Source organism: Homo sapiens, chromosome 11 (genome assembly GCF_000001405.40).
Source record: "Homo sapiens chromosome 11, GRCh38.p14 Primary Assembly".
Classification (NCBI taxonomy): domain Eukaryota; kingdom Metazoa; phylum Chordata; class Mammalia; order Primates; family Hominidae; genus Homo; species Homo sapiens.
This window is the reverse complement of record NC_000011.10, coordinates 119,464,320-119,479,675: the sequence shown is the minus strand read 5'-3', so window position 1 is coordinate 119,479,675 and position 15,356 is coordinate 119,464,320. Positions and strand designations below refer to the sequence as shown.

Here is a 15,356-nt window from a genome sequence, read left to right as displayed (position 1 = left end):
ATATTCATAACAACATTGTCTGTAAGAGCCAAAAAGTAGAAACGACACCAATGTCTATCAACTGACCAATGGAATATTATTCAGCCATAAAAAAGAACAAAGTTCTGATACAGGCTACAACATGGATGAGCCGTGAGTACAAAATGCCAAGTGAAAGAAGCCAGTAGCGAAAGACCACATGGTGTGTGACTCCATTTATATGAAATGTCTAGAACAGGTGAGTCTGGAGAGACTAGATTTCTTCAGAGACAGCATAGATCGGTGGTCTCCAGGGACCAGGGAGGGGGAATGAGGACTGACTGCTAATAGGAACGGGGTTTCCCGTGGGGATGAAAATGTTCTGGAATTAGGTGGCGGTAAATGTTACACAACTCTGTGAACACGCTAAAAAGCACTAAATTGTACACTTTAAAGGGGTTAATTTCATGGAGTATGAGTTATATCTCAATAATAGTATTTTTTTGAAGATCTGGTCATACAGAGTGGAGGGGTTGCCTCAGCCCAGGAAGGAAGCAGAAGACCCAGGCAGATGCAAGCAGGTGTGTGGTGTGGGGGTGGGGACCATGGACATTCTCTCCCAGTGGCTTCTATTTTCTCAGTGAGACAGGAAGTGACATCATCAGCTGAGAGTAGAAATGGAGGCTCCAGGGAAGAGCACAGGGACAGAACAGATATGTCACCGCAAGAGGAAATGAATGGGCTATGGAGATTCAGGAGGATTCCCAGGCAGCATCAGGCCCACGGGAAGGAAGCAAAGGTGCTGGGAGGCAGGGGGCAGTGGTCCCATGTCAAGTGGGCCCAACAGCCTGAGAGTGTGGAGACCTGGGTCACCAGCATTGTGCTCCCCACATAACACGGTTCGCCCACTCTCTGGACATACAGGGGTTCCCATGGGAGTTTGATACAAACCCTAAAAATATGCCTACCTACTACCCATCACCTTTTAAAATGCACATTCCCTGTCACTCTGCAATTCCTCTTGGGGAATTCAGTCTCAGAAACACTTGCATGCAGACACAGCTGCATATGCAGGGATGCTCACAGCAGAATTGTTAGCAATCTCAAAAGATGGGAAACCACCTAAGTGTCCATTACTGGGTAAGTGGTTTTTAAAAATTATAATACATCCACACGATAGAATACTCTGAAGCAGTAAAAGCCATGAAGTGGTCCAGACGTACTAACATGAAAGGATTTCCATGGCATATCATGGGTGGAAAATCAGGTTGCAGAATAATGTGTGTAATATTATATAATTTTCTTTCCTTTCTTTTTATACAAAATGGTATGTATGCATGTGTGTGTTTAGATTATTAAAATATACATAAGGCCTGGAAAGGATGCACTCTAAATTATTAATGGTGTTTAATCTCAAGAACTAGGTTTTGCAGGAAGGGTTGAGGGGGTTGATGAGGCAGAAGGGATTTCAGAGGGAGGCTTTCATTTTGTGCTTTTTATGTTTTTTGAACTATGCTTTTTGAACATGTAACATGGAGCATATATGCTTTGGAAATTTAAACAGGAAAGAAGGCTGAGCTCAGTGGCACATGCCTGTAATCCCAGCACTTTGGGAGGCTGAGGCAGGAGGATCGCTTGAACCCAAGAGTTTGAGGCTGCTGTGAGCTGTGATCACACCACTGCATTCCAACCTGGGCAACAGAAGGAGACCCTTTCTAAAAAATAAAATAAAATAAAATAAAATAAAATAAAAAGGAAAGAGCTCATTGTGCCCTCTTGCGCTTCTTTCCCTCTCTGGACTAGAGGACCCTGGAAGGCCAGCATCCTCCCTAGCCCAGACAATGCTGTGCATTGGTCCCTGGAGATCATGGCGGGTCCTGACACCTGGGCTTTCCCTTTGCCCACCTCTCTTCACCCCCAGACAAGGGATGAGGTTCAGAAAAGCAGGAACACTTGCAGCACCCAAACCTCCACTTTTTCTCCTCCCCTCACACCACCACTGCTCCCCTCCAGCTACCTCCCTGGGGAAGAAGGTGTCTGATCAATCCAGTAGAACCAAAGCGGAGAGAGGTAGCTCCGTAATGCTAATAGCATGGGTTTATATAATGCTTGCTGTGTACCAGGCACCATTCTGAACACTTCTCATGAATGAACTCACAACAGTTCTATGGGTTCCACACTATTACTTTACTATCCTGCATTGTAGATTTCAAAAACACAAACAAACAAATAGGAGTCACAAAAGGCCAAGTAATTTGCCCGTGATGCTACTACCATCTATCTGTAAGTGGAACCTGCACAGTGAGGCTGCAGAATCGGCACACTGACCTCTGCAAGCCGTGCCCCTGCGAAGCCACAGTCCCGCCCTCTTCATTCCTTCCTCTGCTCTTCTGTGGCTCTGGGTCACCTGACGTCTGCTAGGGTCAGGTACTCTCCAGGGCAAGACTGTGGCATCCTCAACACAGACCCCCCGCGCTGACACACGCCTGGCAGCCAGTGAGTGCTCAGCAAGTGTCTGTTGAATTAACTGTGGCGTGCACCACCCTCTCTCCCGCCCAGGGATGAGCAGATCCTTTCCCCTTCAGAGCAGTCCAAACAAGGCAGCAAGTTTGCTCAGGAGCCTTCCGGAGTACTGAGTGGAGAGCAGCCCATGGGGATAGAACAGAGGCTGCCACTGAGCTCCTGCTCCTGCTGGATCAGACTCCTGCTCTGGGTCAGACCACTACCGCCCTGGCTGTCCAGGTCCAGCTGCTGGTAACGGTTTGTGTTGGGAAGGGTTCCTCCCAGGTTGGCCTCAACTCCTGTCTGCCCTTGACTGAGCTGGACTCAAGCCTTGCAGCTGCCCCATCCCTCTCCCAGAACCTGGCCCCACTCCTTGGGGTTCAAGCTGCAGAAGGGTGAGCCCAGACAGCCCATCCCTGAGGCCTGGATCTGGCTACCCTTCCTCCAGCTCATCCACTCCCAGCCACCTTGGCTACTTCCACCCTAGACACAGCTAGGTGCTCACCCTGAAACAGGAAGTCCCCACAGCTGACCCTTCAGTCCTTCGCTTTACCTGCAGAAACCCCCAAGCTCTTGTAGCTCTAAGTCCCCTGAGAGCTACTCACAAGTTCAAGTTTTCAGGCTGAGGGTCATCAAAGCCCCTCTGTTCATTTGCAGAACCTGGAGCAGAGCAACATCTCCACAGACCAGCTCACCTGGCCAGTTCAGAGGCAACTCTGCCCACTTCCTTGGTCCCCCTGTGACTTCCATGGCATAGAAATTTGGGAATTCAAGCTTCCATCTATCCATCCATCCATCCATATATCCATCCATCCATTCATCTACTCAGCCACATGTCCAGCCACCCACCCAACCATCCATCCACTCATCCATCCATCTATCCATTCATTTATCCAACCATCCACCCATCCACCCATCCATCCATCCGTATATCCACCCACTCATCCACCCACTCATCCACCTATATATCCATCCATCTATATATCCATCCATTATCCATCATTCATCCATCTATTCATCTACCTACCCATCTTTCCACCCACCCACTATCCATCATTCATCCATCTATTCGTCTACCTACCCATCTTTCCACCCACCCACCCACCATCCATCTATTCATCTATATATCCATCCATCCATCATCCATCTACTTATCTACCCACCCATCTATCCACCCATATACCCATCCCTCTCTCCCTCCCTCCCTTCACCCATCCATCCATATATCCATCTAGCCAACCAGCCAACAAATGTATATAACGTGACATGCTGGACCCTAGGGATCCTGAGATGGACACATTATGATCCTATCCTCCCTCTGAGGGTAGGAAAGTAAAAGAAGAAAGGGATGTTTTCCAAAGATTATTCTAAGAAGGTGCTGACTAATGGAACTTTCCGTGATGCGGCTAATGTTCTCTTCTGTGCTACTCAATATGGTCAACAGCCATTAGCCATGTGTGGACATTCAGCATCTGAAATGTGGCTAGTGTGACTGAGGAACTGAGTCTTTCATTTCATGTAATTTTAATTAATTGAAATGCAAACCATCACATGGCACCAGTGGCTTCAGGACGCCACAGACCTAAGAACTGTGGTAGCACAGAAGGGAGGGGAGGCTTCAGGGAGGAGACAACATTAGGCGGGGCCAGGCTCAGACTCAGCCAGCTTGCTCATTCTTCTTCCCTGACACCTGCTGGAGCATGTCCAGCCCCGGCCAGACCCTTAAGCATATTTTGGAAAGTCTGTTGTCACAGTGCTGAGCTCAGCTGGAGGCTCTTCTGACCTTGCACACCCTCTCTGAGGTCACTGCTGGGTGAGGCCTGAGCCCTTCTCACTCCAGGAGTTCCTGACTCATCCTGGAAAAAGCAGAAAAGCCTCTGTATTTCTCAAGAACCAGCTTCAATGTTAAGAAGAGGGCAGACATGACCCCAGGCATGACCCCAGCTCGGGGACACAGGGACAGGGTATAGGGGGCAGGGAGAAGTCCAAAACAAGTGAGAAGCAGAATAGAGAGCCAGGGCCCAGCAGAGGGTGAGGTGAAAACTGATGGAATGAGACATGGAGGAACGGACAGCCCAAGCCAGCAGGGCAGACAGAGTAAGAGAGATATGCCACAGAGCGACGGCTAACATGAGCCAGAACGGAAGGGACATGCTGAGGTAAAAACAGCTGGAGGCAGGCTGACAGGTGGCTACAGACAAGACTAAGACAGGCTGACCAAAAGGCAGTCTGTGACCCCAGGAGAGGTGGGGTGGGGGTCCCAGAGGGCAGCTCTGAGATCTCTGGCACATCCATTGACTGCACTTGCAGATCAGACCACTAGGAGGTAGCATTGCTCCAACCACTGCCACTAGCCCGGCATCCAGCTTCCAAAAGATGGTTACAGCCAGACTCCCTGTCATGGGCAGCGGACATGGCTTCACTGAGAGATGTAAGAGGCTGGGATAGGGGGACCCAGGGCATCTATGCCCTAGCCTGGAGAGTCCCTCTCTCATCACCCAGGATCTCCTCAAACCTGCCCCTTCCCTCCACATTCCCAGTCCCTGGCCTTGTCCCTTTCCTGACAGCTGCCTGGGCTCCCAGAGCACTGAAGGACGGAGGCTCAGGATGCCCATCAATTCCCTGTCTTTGCCTGAAAAAGGCAAGTGAGGATTCTAGGTCTGAGAATTGCCCTTAGCTCCTGCCATGGGGCCTGGTCCATGACGAGGGTCTCATGGGTTCTTGGGTGCAAGGCGTGCTTCACATAGATCCAGGGGTCTTGGCTGACCCCATGCTCAGCAGCAGCCAAGTGCAGCTTTGGGCTGCATTAACAGAACCAAATGTCTGGATACAGGACTGCATTCAGCAATGAAGCCCAGTCCTCAGGCTATAGCTCTGGAACAGACAATGTAGCACAGGAGGAAGAGCGATGCGGACCATGTCATAGTTACAAACCCAGTCGTGCACATCATAGGGTGGTGATCTCATCAGATTATAATACCGTATTTTTGCTCTACCTTTTCTGTGTTTAGATGCCCAAATATTTGCCATTGTGTTACAGTCACCTACACTGTTCAGTACAGTCACATGCTGTACAGGTGTGTATCCTAGAAACAACAGGCTCTATCATGTGGCCTAGGTGCGAAGCAGGCTGTACCACCTAGGCTTGTGTGAACACAGTCTACGATGTCCCCACAATGACGAAACAGTCTTATAATGCATTTCTCAGAATGTGTCCCTGACGTTCAGTGGCATGTGACTGTCCCATCAATGGAGCACCAACACTATATACATCAGCTTCTCTAATCCTTACAACGGCCTGCATAGTTATACCCACTTTACAGATGAGAAAACTCAGAGAGGCTCCTTCTCTAAAGGCTATCCTATAAATGTAGGTGTTTCTAGGGGTTCCATTTCAGGCCTCTTCTCTTTTTCCTCTGCATGTATTCCCTTAGCCACATCTGCTCCTATAACCTAGCCTTAATTCTCAAATTAAGTCCTTGCCCAGATCTTTCTTCTGGGTTCCAGACTAGTCCATCCACCTGCTGTCAGTGGCCCTCACCAGCCTCCACTGCACCCAATTCAATCAGCCTCCCCCTCCTGCTCACTCTGCCCTCACCCTGGATCTCGGATCCTAGCACCACTCAGCGCCATCTCACCTCCCTGAGCCATGCTGCCATCACCCTTCGCCTCCATGTGAAGTGTGGCTCAGGGAGATGAGATGAGGCTGAGAGTGGTGCTGCTCTGTTTTTACTGGTGCCCTCCACACTGCAGCCAGAGTAGTCTTTTTTTTGGCAGGGGTGGGGGGTCGGGTCTTGCCCAGGCTGGAGTGCAGGCTGAAGTACAGGCTCGTCACCCAGGCTGGAATGCAGTGGCGCCATCTCGGCTCACTGCAACCTCCTTCCACTTCCAAAGTTCAAGCAATCCTCCCACCTCAGCCTTCCGGGTAGTTGAGACCACAGGCGTGTGCCACAACACTTGGCTAATTTTTAATTTTTTTGTAGAGGCAGGGTCTCATTATATTGCTCAGTCTGGTCTTGAACTCCTGGGCTCAAGCAATCCTCCCACCTCGGCCTCCCAAAGTGCTGGGATTACAGACACGAGCCACCGGAGGCAACTTGGTCAAACCTCCAGAGGCCACTTTCCACCCCCGCCAACCACATCTTCCTGGAGGCAGAGACAACGCTTGTTCCCTGCCTTCCCTCCCGACACCACCAGCACGCACTTGTGCACGCGCACACGCACACACGCACACGTGGGCAGCTCGAACTGCGCTCCCTCAGATTCCTCCTCCCCTGAGCACACTGTACCTGCCCTGCCCCAGGACAGGGTGCCCCCTCCTCCCACCTGCACCCCACCTGTCTCTCCCCCAGCTTCTCTTGTTCCAGCACCTCAGTCCTGGCATCTGCCAGGCTAAGAAGCCATCCTTGGCCTGGGAGCGCTGTCTTTGACTCGTTTTGTGGCCCTGCACTCCTGCTCTTGGCCTCATCTGCCCATCAGTAAACAGAAGTGGATGGATCATGAGATGACCTCCAAGGTTTCTTCCAGCTCACAGCACCACTGACTGGGAGGCCTCAGCAAAAATGTCCTCACAGTTCTGGAGGCTGGAAGTTAAGTCTGACATCAAGGCATCCTCGCGACTGGTTTCTTCTGAGGCCTCTCTCCTTGCCTTGCAGAAGCGCCTTCCCCTGCGCCTTCACCCAGACTTTCCTCTGTGCAAATCTATGCCCTCGTTTCCTCTTCTCATAAGAACACTGGTCATATTGGATTAAGGCCCACCCATATGACCTCATGGTAACCTAATTACCTCGGTAAAGGCCCTGTCTGCAAATACAGGCGATTATGAAACAACATGTGTTTGAACTTTGTGAGTCCACTTACATGCGGATTTTCTTCTGCCTCTGAGACAGCAAGACCCACCCCCACCACCCCCTCCACAGCCTACTCAGCATGAAGACAGGGAGGATGGAGACCTTGATGAGGATCTACTTCCACTTAATGACTAATACATAGATTTTCTCTTCCTTTTGTTTCTTTTAATAACATTTTCTTTAGCTTACTTTGTTGTAGGAATACAGTACATAATACATATACCATACATAATATGTGTTCAACTGTTTGTCATTGGTAAGGCTTCCAGGCGACAGTAGGCTATTTGTAGTTAAGTTTGGGGGGAGTCAAAAGTCATATGTGAGTCTTGGCTACGAGGGGGTCGGTGCCCTTGACCCCTTGTTGTTCAAGGGTTAACTGTACAATCATATTCTGATGTCCTGGCTAGGGGTTGGGACTTCAATATGTGAATTTTGTGAGGACCCAATTCAGCCCAAGGCACTGGAGGGACAAAGTCCACACTAGAGCACCCTAAGTACTACTGAGTATTTCTAAAGTACCGCCGGGTATGGCTGGGTGCCCTGAGTCCTGCCGGGTACACCCGGGCACCTGAGACCTGCCGGGTACAGCCAAGAAACCTGAGACCAGCTTGGTACAGCCGAGAACCTTGAGACCTGCTTGGTACAGCCGAGAACCCCGAGACCTGCTGGGTACAGCCGAGAACCCTGAGACCTGCTGGGTACAGCCGAGAACCCTGAGACCTGCTGGGTGTGCTGGGCACCCTGAGTCCTGCTGAATACAACTGAGTACCCTGAGTCCTGCTGGGTATGGCTGAGTACTGCTCACTTTCAGAGTCTCTTCCTCCCCCGGCCCCCTGCTGCCTCTGATCTTTTTTCAGAGTGCCACTGTCCCTCTCACCTCCCTTAGTCCCTGGGAAATGGAAGACAGCCTGGGAGTGAGGGAGGAAAGGGGACATGGGAGCACAGCGGACGGGGAGGGAAGTGCAGGGAGAACAGCTAGACTTGTTGCTGGGGAGGACACTGTCTTGGGGCCATCTAGGGCTAGGGGTTCACCGGGCAGGAGCAAGGCAGAGGGGTAAGGGAGTCCAGGGTTCTAGCAAGAGATGGTGGAAATGTCATGATCAGTGCAGACTAGAAAGCAAAGGTGGGAGATGGAGTGAAAGCAGAGGCATTCGTGACATTAGAAGCCAGCAAGCTGGGTGGGACAACAGGGATTACAGAGAAGGGGAGAGCGGGGCTGGCTCACTAGAAGCCAGCAAGCTGGGTGGGACCACAGGGATCACAGAGAAGGGAAGAGCGAGGCTGGCTGAGCCTCTGCAGGGAAACGGGTGTTCCAGCATCTGGAGCCTCTGAACCTTCCCAGGCCTCTCAGAGGAGGAAGAGCCAGGGAGGGACAGGGAGAGCTATTGGGGGGGCCATCACAGCAGCCCCTCAGGTTTGGGGTCTAGGAGTCTGAGTTACCAAGTGGGGCTGGTCTGACTGTCTGCTGGGAACAGGCTGTCCCCGGCCCAGCTGTGGGCACAGGAGAGAGGCAGAGCCTGGTCAGGAGATCTCCCAGGGGAGGCTGGGACACCTGACGCTGCAGGCATCAGAGAGTCTGGAGGGAGAGGGGCCAGGCGGGGTGGGAGCCGGGGTCTCTGAGCTCTACAAATGGGCCGCCTCGCAGGCAGGCCAGCGGAGAGGACCCCAGAACACTCCATATCTAATTGGGTGGGTGCAGTATATGGATTTTCTGTAAGAAGTGCTCTCTGAAGCATTTCAAAGGCATGTGTGGCCTCAGAAAGCTTATGAGTCAGTGGCCAACTGACATTTGGTACACTGCATTTAAATGCAGGCAAAAGGCAGCCGTCTTAAGGCTTGCGGGAAGGGCGTGGGCCAGCTTTCCTGGAACATCTGCCAAGGCACAAAGGAAGATGCTGCCAGGAAGGAGTGCAGTGATGTTTCCCAGGCCAGCCCTGCCTCCTGGGCCCTGAGCACCTCCCCTTAGAGCTTCCATCAGTCTGGAAATACCTGTGAGCCCTACTGTGTGTTGACACCAGGCTGGGTGCTGGGGCTACCCGGGAAGAGCAGCCTTGCCCAGGAGATGCTCGTGGTCCTGGCTTCCTCATCTGGCACCCATCAGGCTAGACACAGATGGGGCTCCAGGCCTTTGCACATGCTGTTCCCATAGCCAGCATCCAGTCCTGGTCTAGATGACGCAAAGCCCTAGCTCATGTCTTCGGAGAGGAGATGCGGTGTCCAGAAACTGGTGGCCTCAGGACCATTTGAGATGTTCTCAATTCAGTGTAAGGACTATGATGCACAGTGTCGTTTGTACTGTCTTTACTTTTTGTGACAGAGAAATAATTCATTTTTATGAAGCTCACAGAAACACAATCTCTCATTTTATAATTGAATTATGTGGAACTCACTTTGCACAAGATGACAGGGCTGAATCTTCTTGTGTTTTTCTGTGCGCTTGGATCTCTCTGCCTCTCCCGTGTGTTGTGAGTTCCATGGGGAAGGAGTCCAGTCTGGGCTGTGCAGGGCTGCATCCCCACGAACCTGCACAGTGCTTCCCACCAGGTGGGAACTTGGCCTGAGAAAATAAATAAGACCCTCAAAAATCCAAGGACCAAGCCATGAATCTCCAAGCCTAACCAGGTGGACATATCTCCTCCTCAGCTCAAGGGGAGACCCAGGGGCCAGAAAACAGCCACTGTGATCATGGCCTTCTGAGAAGCCCAAAGGGACAGACTACGCCCTTGCTCTAAAACATGCATCTCTCCAGTCCTCCCTCAGCCCTGAGGGAACTGGCTTCACTCCTCAGCAGAGGAGGCTTTGCTCTCCACATGCCCAGGAGGGCCGGGGTGGGCTCAGCTTCTGAGGGCACAACCTCCTTACCATGATTTATGGAAAGAGCAACTCCCGGAAGGAAGCCTTAACCAAGGACCTGCCAGGAAACTTTTTAAAATATGTCATTGAAAGGCACAATGGACCCAGGCACAGTGGCTTACACCTATAATCCCAACACTTTGGGAGGCCAAGGTGGGAGGATCACTTGAGCCCAGAAGTATGAGACCAGCCTGGGCAACATGGCAAGACCTCATCTCCACACACACACACACACAAAAACTTAGTCAGGCATGGTGGCACACACCTGTGATCCCAGCTGCTTGGTGGGCTGAGATGGGAGGATCACTTGAGCCCAGGAGGTGGAGGCTGCAGTGAGCTGTGATCACACCACTACACTCCTGTCTGGGTGACAGAGTAAGACCACATCTCAGAAAAAAAGAAAAAGACAAGAAAAGACAATGAGGGGAGGCAGAGCAAGATGGCTGAATAGAAGCCTCCAGCGTTCGTCCCCCTGCAGGAACACCAAATTAAACAACTGTCCACACAGAAAAGCACCTTAATAAGAACAAAAATCCTAAGAACCTGGTACCAGCTAGGCCCAAGTAGGGTACAGCATCAAATGGGCTCCTGGGTCCCCAGTTCTAGACTGTGGCTCCTTGATGGCATTTCTGGACCTGCTCTGGGCCAGAGGGAAGCCTGCTGCCTGGAAGGGAGGGACTAGGAACAGGCAGCATTCACCACAAGCTGAATGAAGAAGCCTGGGCCTCGACTGAACATAGCCAGGCACTATTTACCACAGGCCTGGGGTGGCAGTGGTTACGGGGAGAGACCCCTGTACTTGAGGAAAGGGGAGGGAAGAGTGGGAAGGATTCTCTGTCTTGTGGCTTGGGTGCCAGCTCAGCCACAGTTGAATAGAGCATCAGGTAGATTCCTAAGGTTCCTGACTCCAGCCCTGGCTCCTGGATGGCATCTCTGGACCCCCCTGGGGCCAGGAGGACTCACTGCCCTGAAGGAAAGGACATAAGCCTGGCTCAATATGCCACCTGCTAACTGTAGGGATTCTTGGGCCTTCAGTGAACATAGGTGGTAGCCAGGCAGTGGTCAATGCATGCCTTGGGTGAGACTCAGTTGCTGTCCAGGCTTTGGGTCTGACCCAGTGCAGTCCCAGTGGTGGTGGCTAAAGGGGTACTTGTGTCACCCCTCTCTCAGCTCCAGGGAGCTCAGCACAGAGATAGAGACTCTGTTTGTTTGGGGGAAAGTAAGGGAAGAGAACAAGAGTCTCTGCCTGGTAATCCAGGGAATTCTTCTGGATCTTACCCAAGATCACTAAGGCAGTACTTCTACTAGTGCAAGAGCTACAGCATTATTGGGCTTGGGGTGCCCTTTAAAGCAGATATGGCAGCAGTGACCAAAGACTTAGATCACAACATACAATCCCTCTGAATATTTGGAAAGCCTGTCCAAGAAGGATGGGTACAAACAAGTACAGACTGTGAAGACTACAATAAATACCTAACTCTTTAATGCCCAGACACTGACAAACATCCACGAGCATCAACACCATCCAGGAAAACATGACCTCACCAAATGAACTAAGTAAGACACCAGGAACCAATCCTGGAGAAATAGAGATATGTGACCTTTCAGACAAAGAATTCAAAATTGCTGTTTCAAGGAAGCTCAATGAAATCCAAGATAACACAGAGAAGGAATTCAGAATACTATCAGATAAATTTAACAAAGAGGTTGAAATAACTTAAAAGAATCAAGAAGAAATTCTGGAGCTGAACAATGCAATTGACATATTGAAGAATGCATCAGAGTCTCTCAACAGCAGAACTGATCAAGTAGAAGAAAGAATTAGTGAGCTTCAAGACAGTCTATTTGAAAACACACATTGGAAACAAAAGAAAAAAGAATAAAAAAGAATGAAGCAAACACAAAAGATATAGAAAATAGCCTCAAAAAGACAAATCTAAGAGTTATTGGCCTCAAAGAAGAAGTAGAGAGAAAGACTGGGGTAGAAAATTTATTCAAAAGGATAATAACAGAGAACTTTCCAAACCTATAGAAAAATATCAATATTCAAGTACAAGAAGGTTATAGAACACTAAGCAGATTTAATTCAAATAAGACTACCTCAAGGTATTTAATAATCAAATTCCCAAAGGTCAAGAATAAAGAAAGAATCCTAAAGCAGCAAGAAAAAAGAAATAAATAACATACAATTGAGCTCCACATCTGGCAGAAGATTTCTCAGTGGAAACCTTACAGGCCAGGGGAGAGTGTCATGACATATTTAAAGTGCTGAAAGAAAAAACTGTTACCCTAGAATAGTATATCTGGTGAAAATATCCTTCAAACATGAAGGAGAAATAAAGACTTTCCCAGACAAAAAAAAGCTGAGGGATTTCATCAAGAGCGGACCTGTCCTACAAGAAACACTGAAGGTAGTTCTTCAACATGAAAAAAGAGAATGTTAATTAACAATAAATCATCCGAAGGAAAAAAACTGGTAATAGTAAGTACACAGAGAAACATAAAATATTATAACACTGTACTTGCGGTGTGTAAACTACTTATATCTTAAGTAGAAAGACTAAAAAATAAACCTATCAAGAATAATAACTACAACTTCTTAAGACATAGGCAGTACAATAACATAAATATAAACAACAAAAATTTAAAAAAATCAGGGGGATGAAGTTAAAATGTAGAATTTGTATTAGTTTTGTCTTTGCTTGCTTGTTTGTTTGTTTATGCAATTAGTATTAAGTTGTCATCAGCTTAAAATAACATGTCATAAGATACCATTTGCAAACCGCATGGTAAACTCAAAAAACATTACAACAGATAAACAAAAAATAAAAGGCATGAAATTAAAACACACCATTTGAGAAAATCACCTTCACTAAAGGGAAGACAGGAAAGAAGGGAATAAAGACAAGAAGATCACCAAAAATAAGAGACAACAAATGACAAAATAGCAGAAGTAAGTCCTTACTTATCAATAATAACATCGAATGTAAATGAACTAAACTCTCCAATCAAGACACAGTGTGGTTGAATGAATAAAACAAGACCCAGTGATCTGTTGCCTACAAGAAACATGCTTCACTGATAAAGACACATAGACTGAAAATAAAAAGATGAATGGAAAAAGACATTCCACGCAAATGGAAACTGAAAAAAGAGCAGGATTATCTATACTTTTATCAGACCAAACAGATTTCAAGACAAAAACTATAAAAAGAGATTAAAAAAAGGTCATTATATAATGATAAAGGGATCAATTCAGCAAAAGGATATAACAACTGTAAATATATATGCACCCAACATTGGAGCACCCAGATATATAATGAAAATATTATCAGAGCTAAAGAGAGAGATAGACTTTAATACAATAATAGGCTTCAGCACCCCACTTTCAGTGTTGGACAGATCATCTAGACAGAAAATCAACAAAGAAGCATCAGATTTAATCTGCACTATATGCCAAATGGGCCCAATAGATATTTATAGAATATTTCATCCAATGGCTACAGAATGCACATTCTTCTCTTCAGCACCTGCATCATTCTCAAGGATAGACCATATATTAGGCCACAAAACAAGTCTTAAAATTAAAAAAAAAAAAAAGAATATCAAGTATCTTCTCTGACCATGATGGAATAAAACTAGAAACCAAAAAAAGAAAAATTTAGAAAACTATACCAACACATGGAAATTAAACAGTACATTCCTGAATGAAGTGGGTTAATGAAGAAATTAAGAAGAAAATTTAAAAATTTCTTGAAACAAATGGAAATGGAAACACAGCATACCAAAACCTATGGGGTACAGCAAAAGGAGTACTAAGAAGAAAGTTTATAGAAATAATCGCCTACATCAAAAAAGTAGAAAGATTTCAAATAAACAACCTAACAATGCATCTTAAAGAAATAGAAAAGCAAGAGTAAACCAAACCCAAAATTAGTAGAAGAAAAGAAATAATAAAGATCAGAGCAAAAATAAATGAAACTGAAATGAAAAAATACAAAAGATCAAAGAAACAGACATTGGTTTTTGAAATGATAAAAAAGTGACAAATCTTTAGCCTAAGAAAAAAAGAGAGAGGATTCAAATAAATAAAAATCAGAGCTGAAAAAGGAGACATTACAACTTATACCACAGAAATTCAGAGGATTTAAATTAGAGGCTACTAATAAATAAGAAAGCCTACCAATAAATTGCCAATAAAATGGAAAACCTAGAATAAATTGATAAATTCTTAGACACATACAACCTACCAAGATTAAGCCATGAAGAAATCCAAAACTTAAACAGGACAATAGCAAGTAATGAGATCAAAGCCATAATAAACAGTTTCCCATCAAATAAAAGCCCAGGACCCAATGGTTTCAATGCTGAATTTTACCAAACATTTAAAGAACTAAAGAACTACTAACAATACTACTCAAATTATTCCAAAAACTAAGAGGAGGAGGGAATACTTCCAACTCATTCTACAAGGCCTATATTATCCTGATACCAAAACCAGACAAAGACACATCAAAAAAAGAAAACTGTGGGCCAATATCCCTGATAAACATTGATGCAAAAAATCCTCAACAAAATACTAGCAAACCAAATTCAACAACATATTTTTAAAAATCATTCATCATGACCAAGTGGGATTTATCACAGAGATGCAAGGATGGTTCAACACACACAAATCAATCAATGGGATACAACATCATTTCAACAGAATAGAGGACAAAAGCCATAAGATCGGTTCAATTGATGGTGAAAAAGCATTTGATAAAATTCAACATCCCTTCATGATAAAAACCCTCAAAAAATTGGTATAGAAGGAACATACCTCAACACAATAAAAGCCATATACAACAGACCCACAGCTAGTATCATACTGAATGGGAGAAAACTGAAAGCCTTTCCTCTAAGACCTGGAAGAAGACAAGGATGCCCACTGTCATCACTGTTATTCAACATAGTACTGGAAGTCCTAGTTAGGGCAATCAGACAAGAGAAAGAAATAAAGAGCATCCAAATTGGAAAGGAAGAAGTCAAATTATCTTGTTTGCAGACAATATGATCTTATATTTGGAAAAACCTAAAGATGTTACAAAAAACTATTAGAACTGATAAACTCAGTAAAGTTGCAGGACACAAAATCAACATACAAAAAGCAGTAGAATTTCTATATGGCAACAGTAGATAATCTGAAAAGGA

At 46.8% G+C, this 15,356-nt stretch overlaps 1 long non-coding RNA gene across 1 annotated transcript in view, besides 4 other annotated features; it reads right to left on the bottom strand.

Moving 5' to 3' along the window:
- Window positions 1-15,356, bottom strand: part of USP2-AS1 (USP2 antisense RNA 1) — a 117,456-nt gene that overhangs the window by 19,558 nt on the left and 82,542 nt on the right. Inside the window, exon 3 of the long non-coding RNA NR_034160.1 lies at window positions 9,701-9,867. This is a non-coding gene — a long non-coding RNA (USP2 antisense RNA 1). The remainder of the gene's footprint in view (window positions 1-9,700; window positions 9,868-15,356) is intronic.
- Window positions 2,063-2,562: an enhancer, noted in NCBI's record as "H3K4me1 hESC enhancer chr11:119347825-119348324 (GRCh37/hg19 assembly coordinates)". NCBI's record gives its function as "activates a minimal SCP1, AML or CMV promoter by ChIP-STARR-seq in naive H9 embryonic stem cells {active_cell/tissue: H9 hESC(naive)}" and the evidence as "EXISTENCE:reporter gene assay evidence [ECO:0000049][PMID:30033119]".
- Window positions 2,563-3,064: an enhancer, noted in NCBI's record as "H3K4me1 hESC enhancer chr11:119347323-119347824 (GRCh37/hg19 assembly coordinates)". NCBI's record gives its function as "activates a minimal SCP1, AML or CMV promoter by ChIP-STARR-seq in naive H9 embryonic stem cells {active_cell/tissue: H9 hESC(naive)}" and the evidence as "EXISTENCE:reporter gene assay evidence [ECO:0000049][PMID:30033119]".
- Window positions 4,084-4,378: an enhancer, noted in NCBI's record as "tiled region #12960; K562 Activating DNase matched - State 8:EnhW". NCBI's record gives its function as "activates a minimal TATA promoter and a strong SV40 promoter by Sharpr-MPRA in K562 cells {active_cell/tissue: K562}" and the evidence as "EXISTENCE:reporter gene assay evidence [ECO:0000049][PMID:27701403]".
- Window positions 5,758-6,258: an enhancer, noted in NCBI's record as "H3K4me1 hESC enhancer chr11:119344129-119344629 (GRCh37/hg19 assembly coordinates)". NCBI's record gives its function as "activates a minimal SCP1, AML or CMV promoter by ChIP-STARR-seq in naive and primed H9 embryonic stem cells {active_cell/tissue: H9 hESC(naive and primed)}" and the evidence as "EXISTENCE:reporter gene assay evidence [ECO:0000049][PMID:30033119]".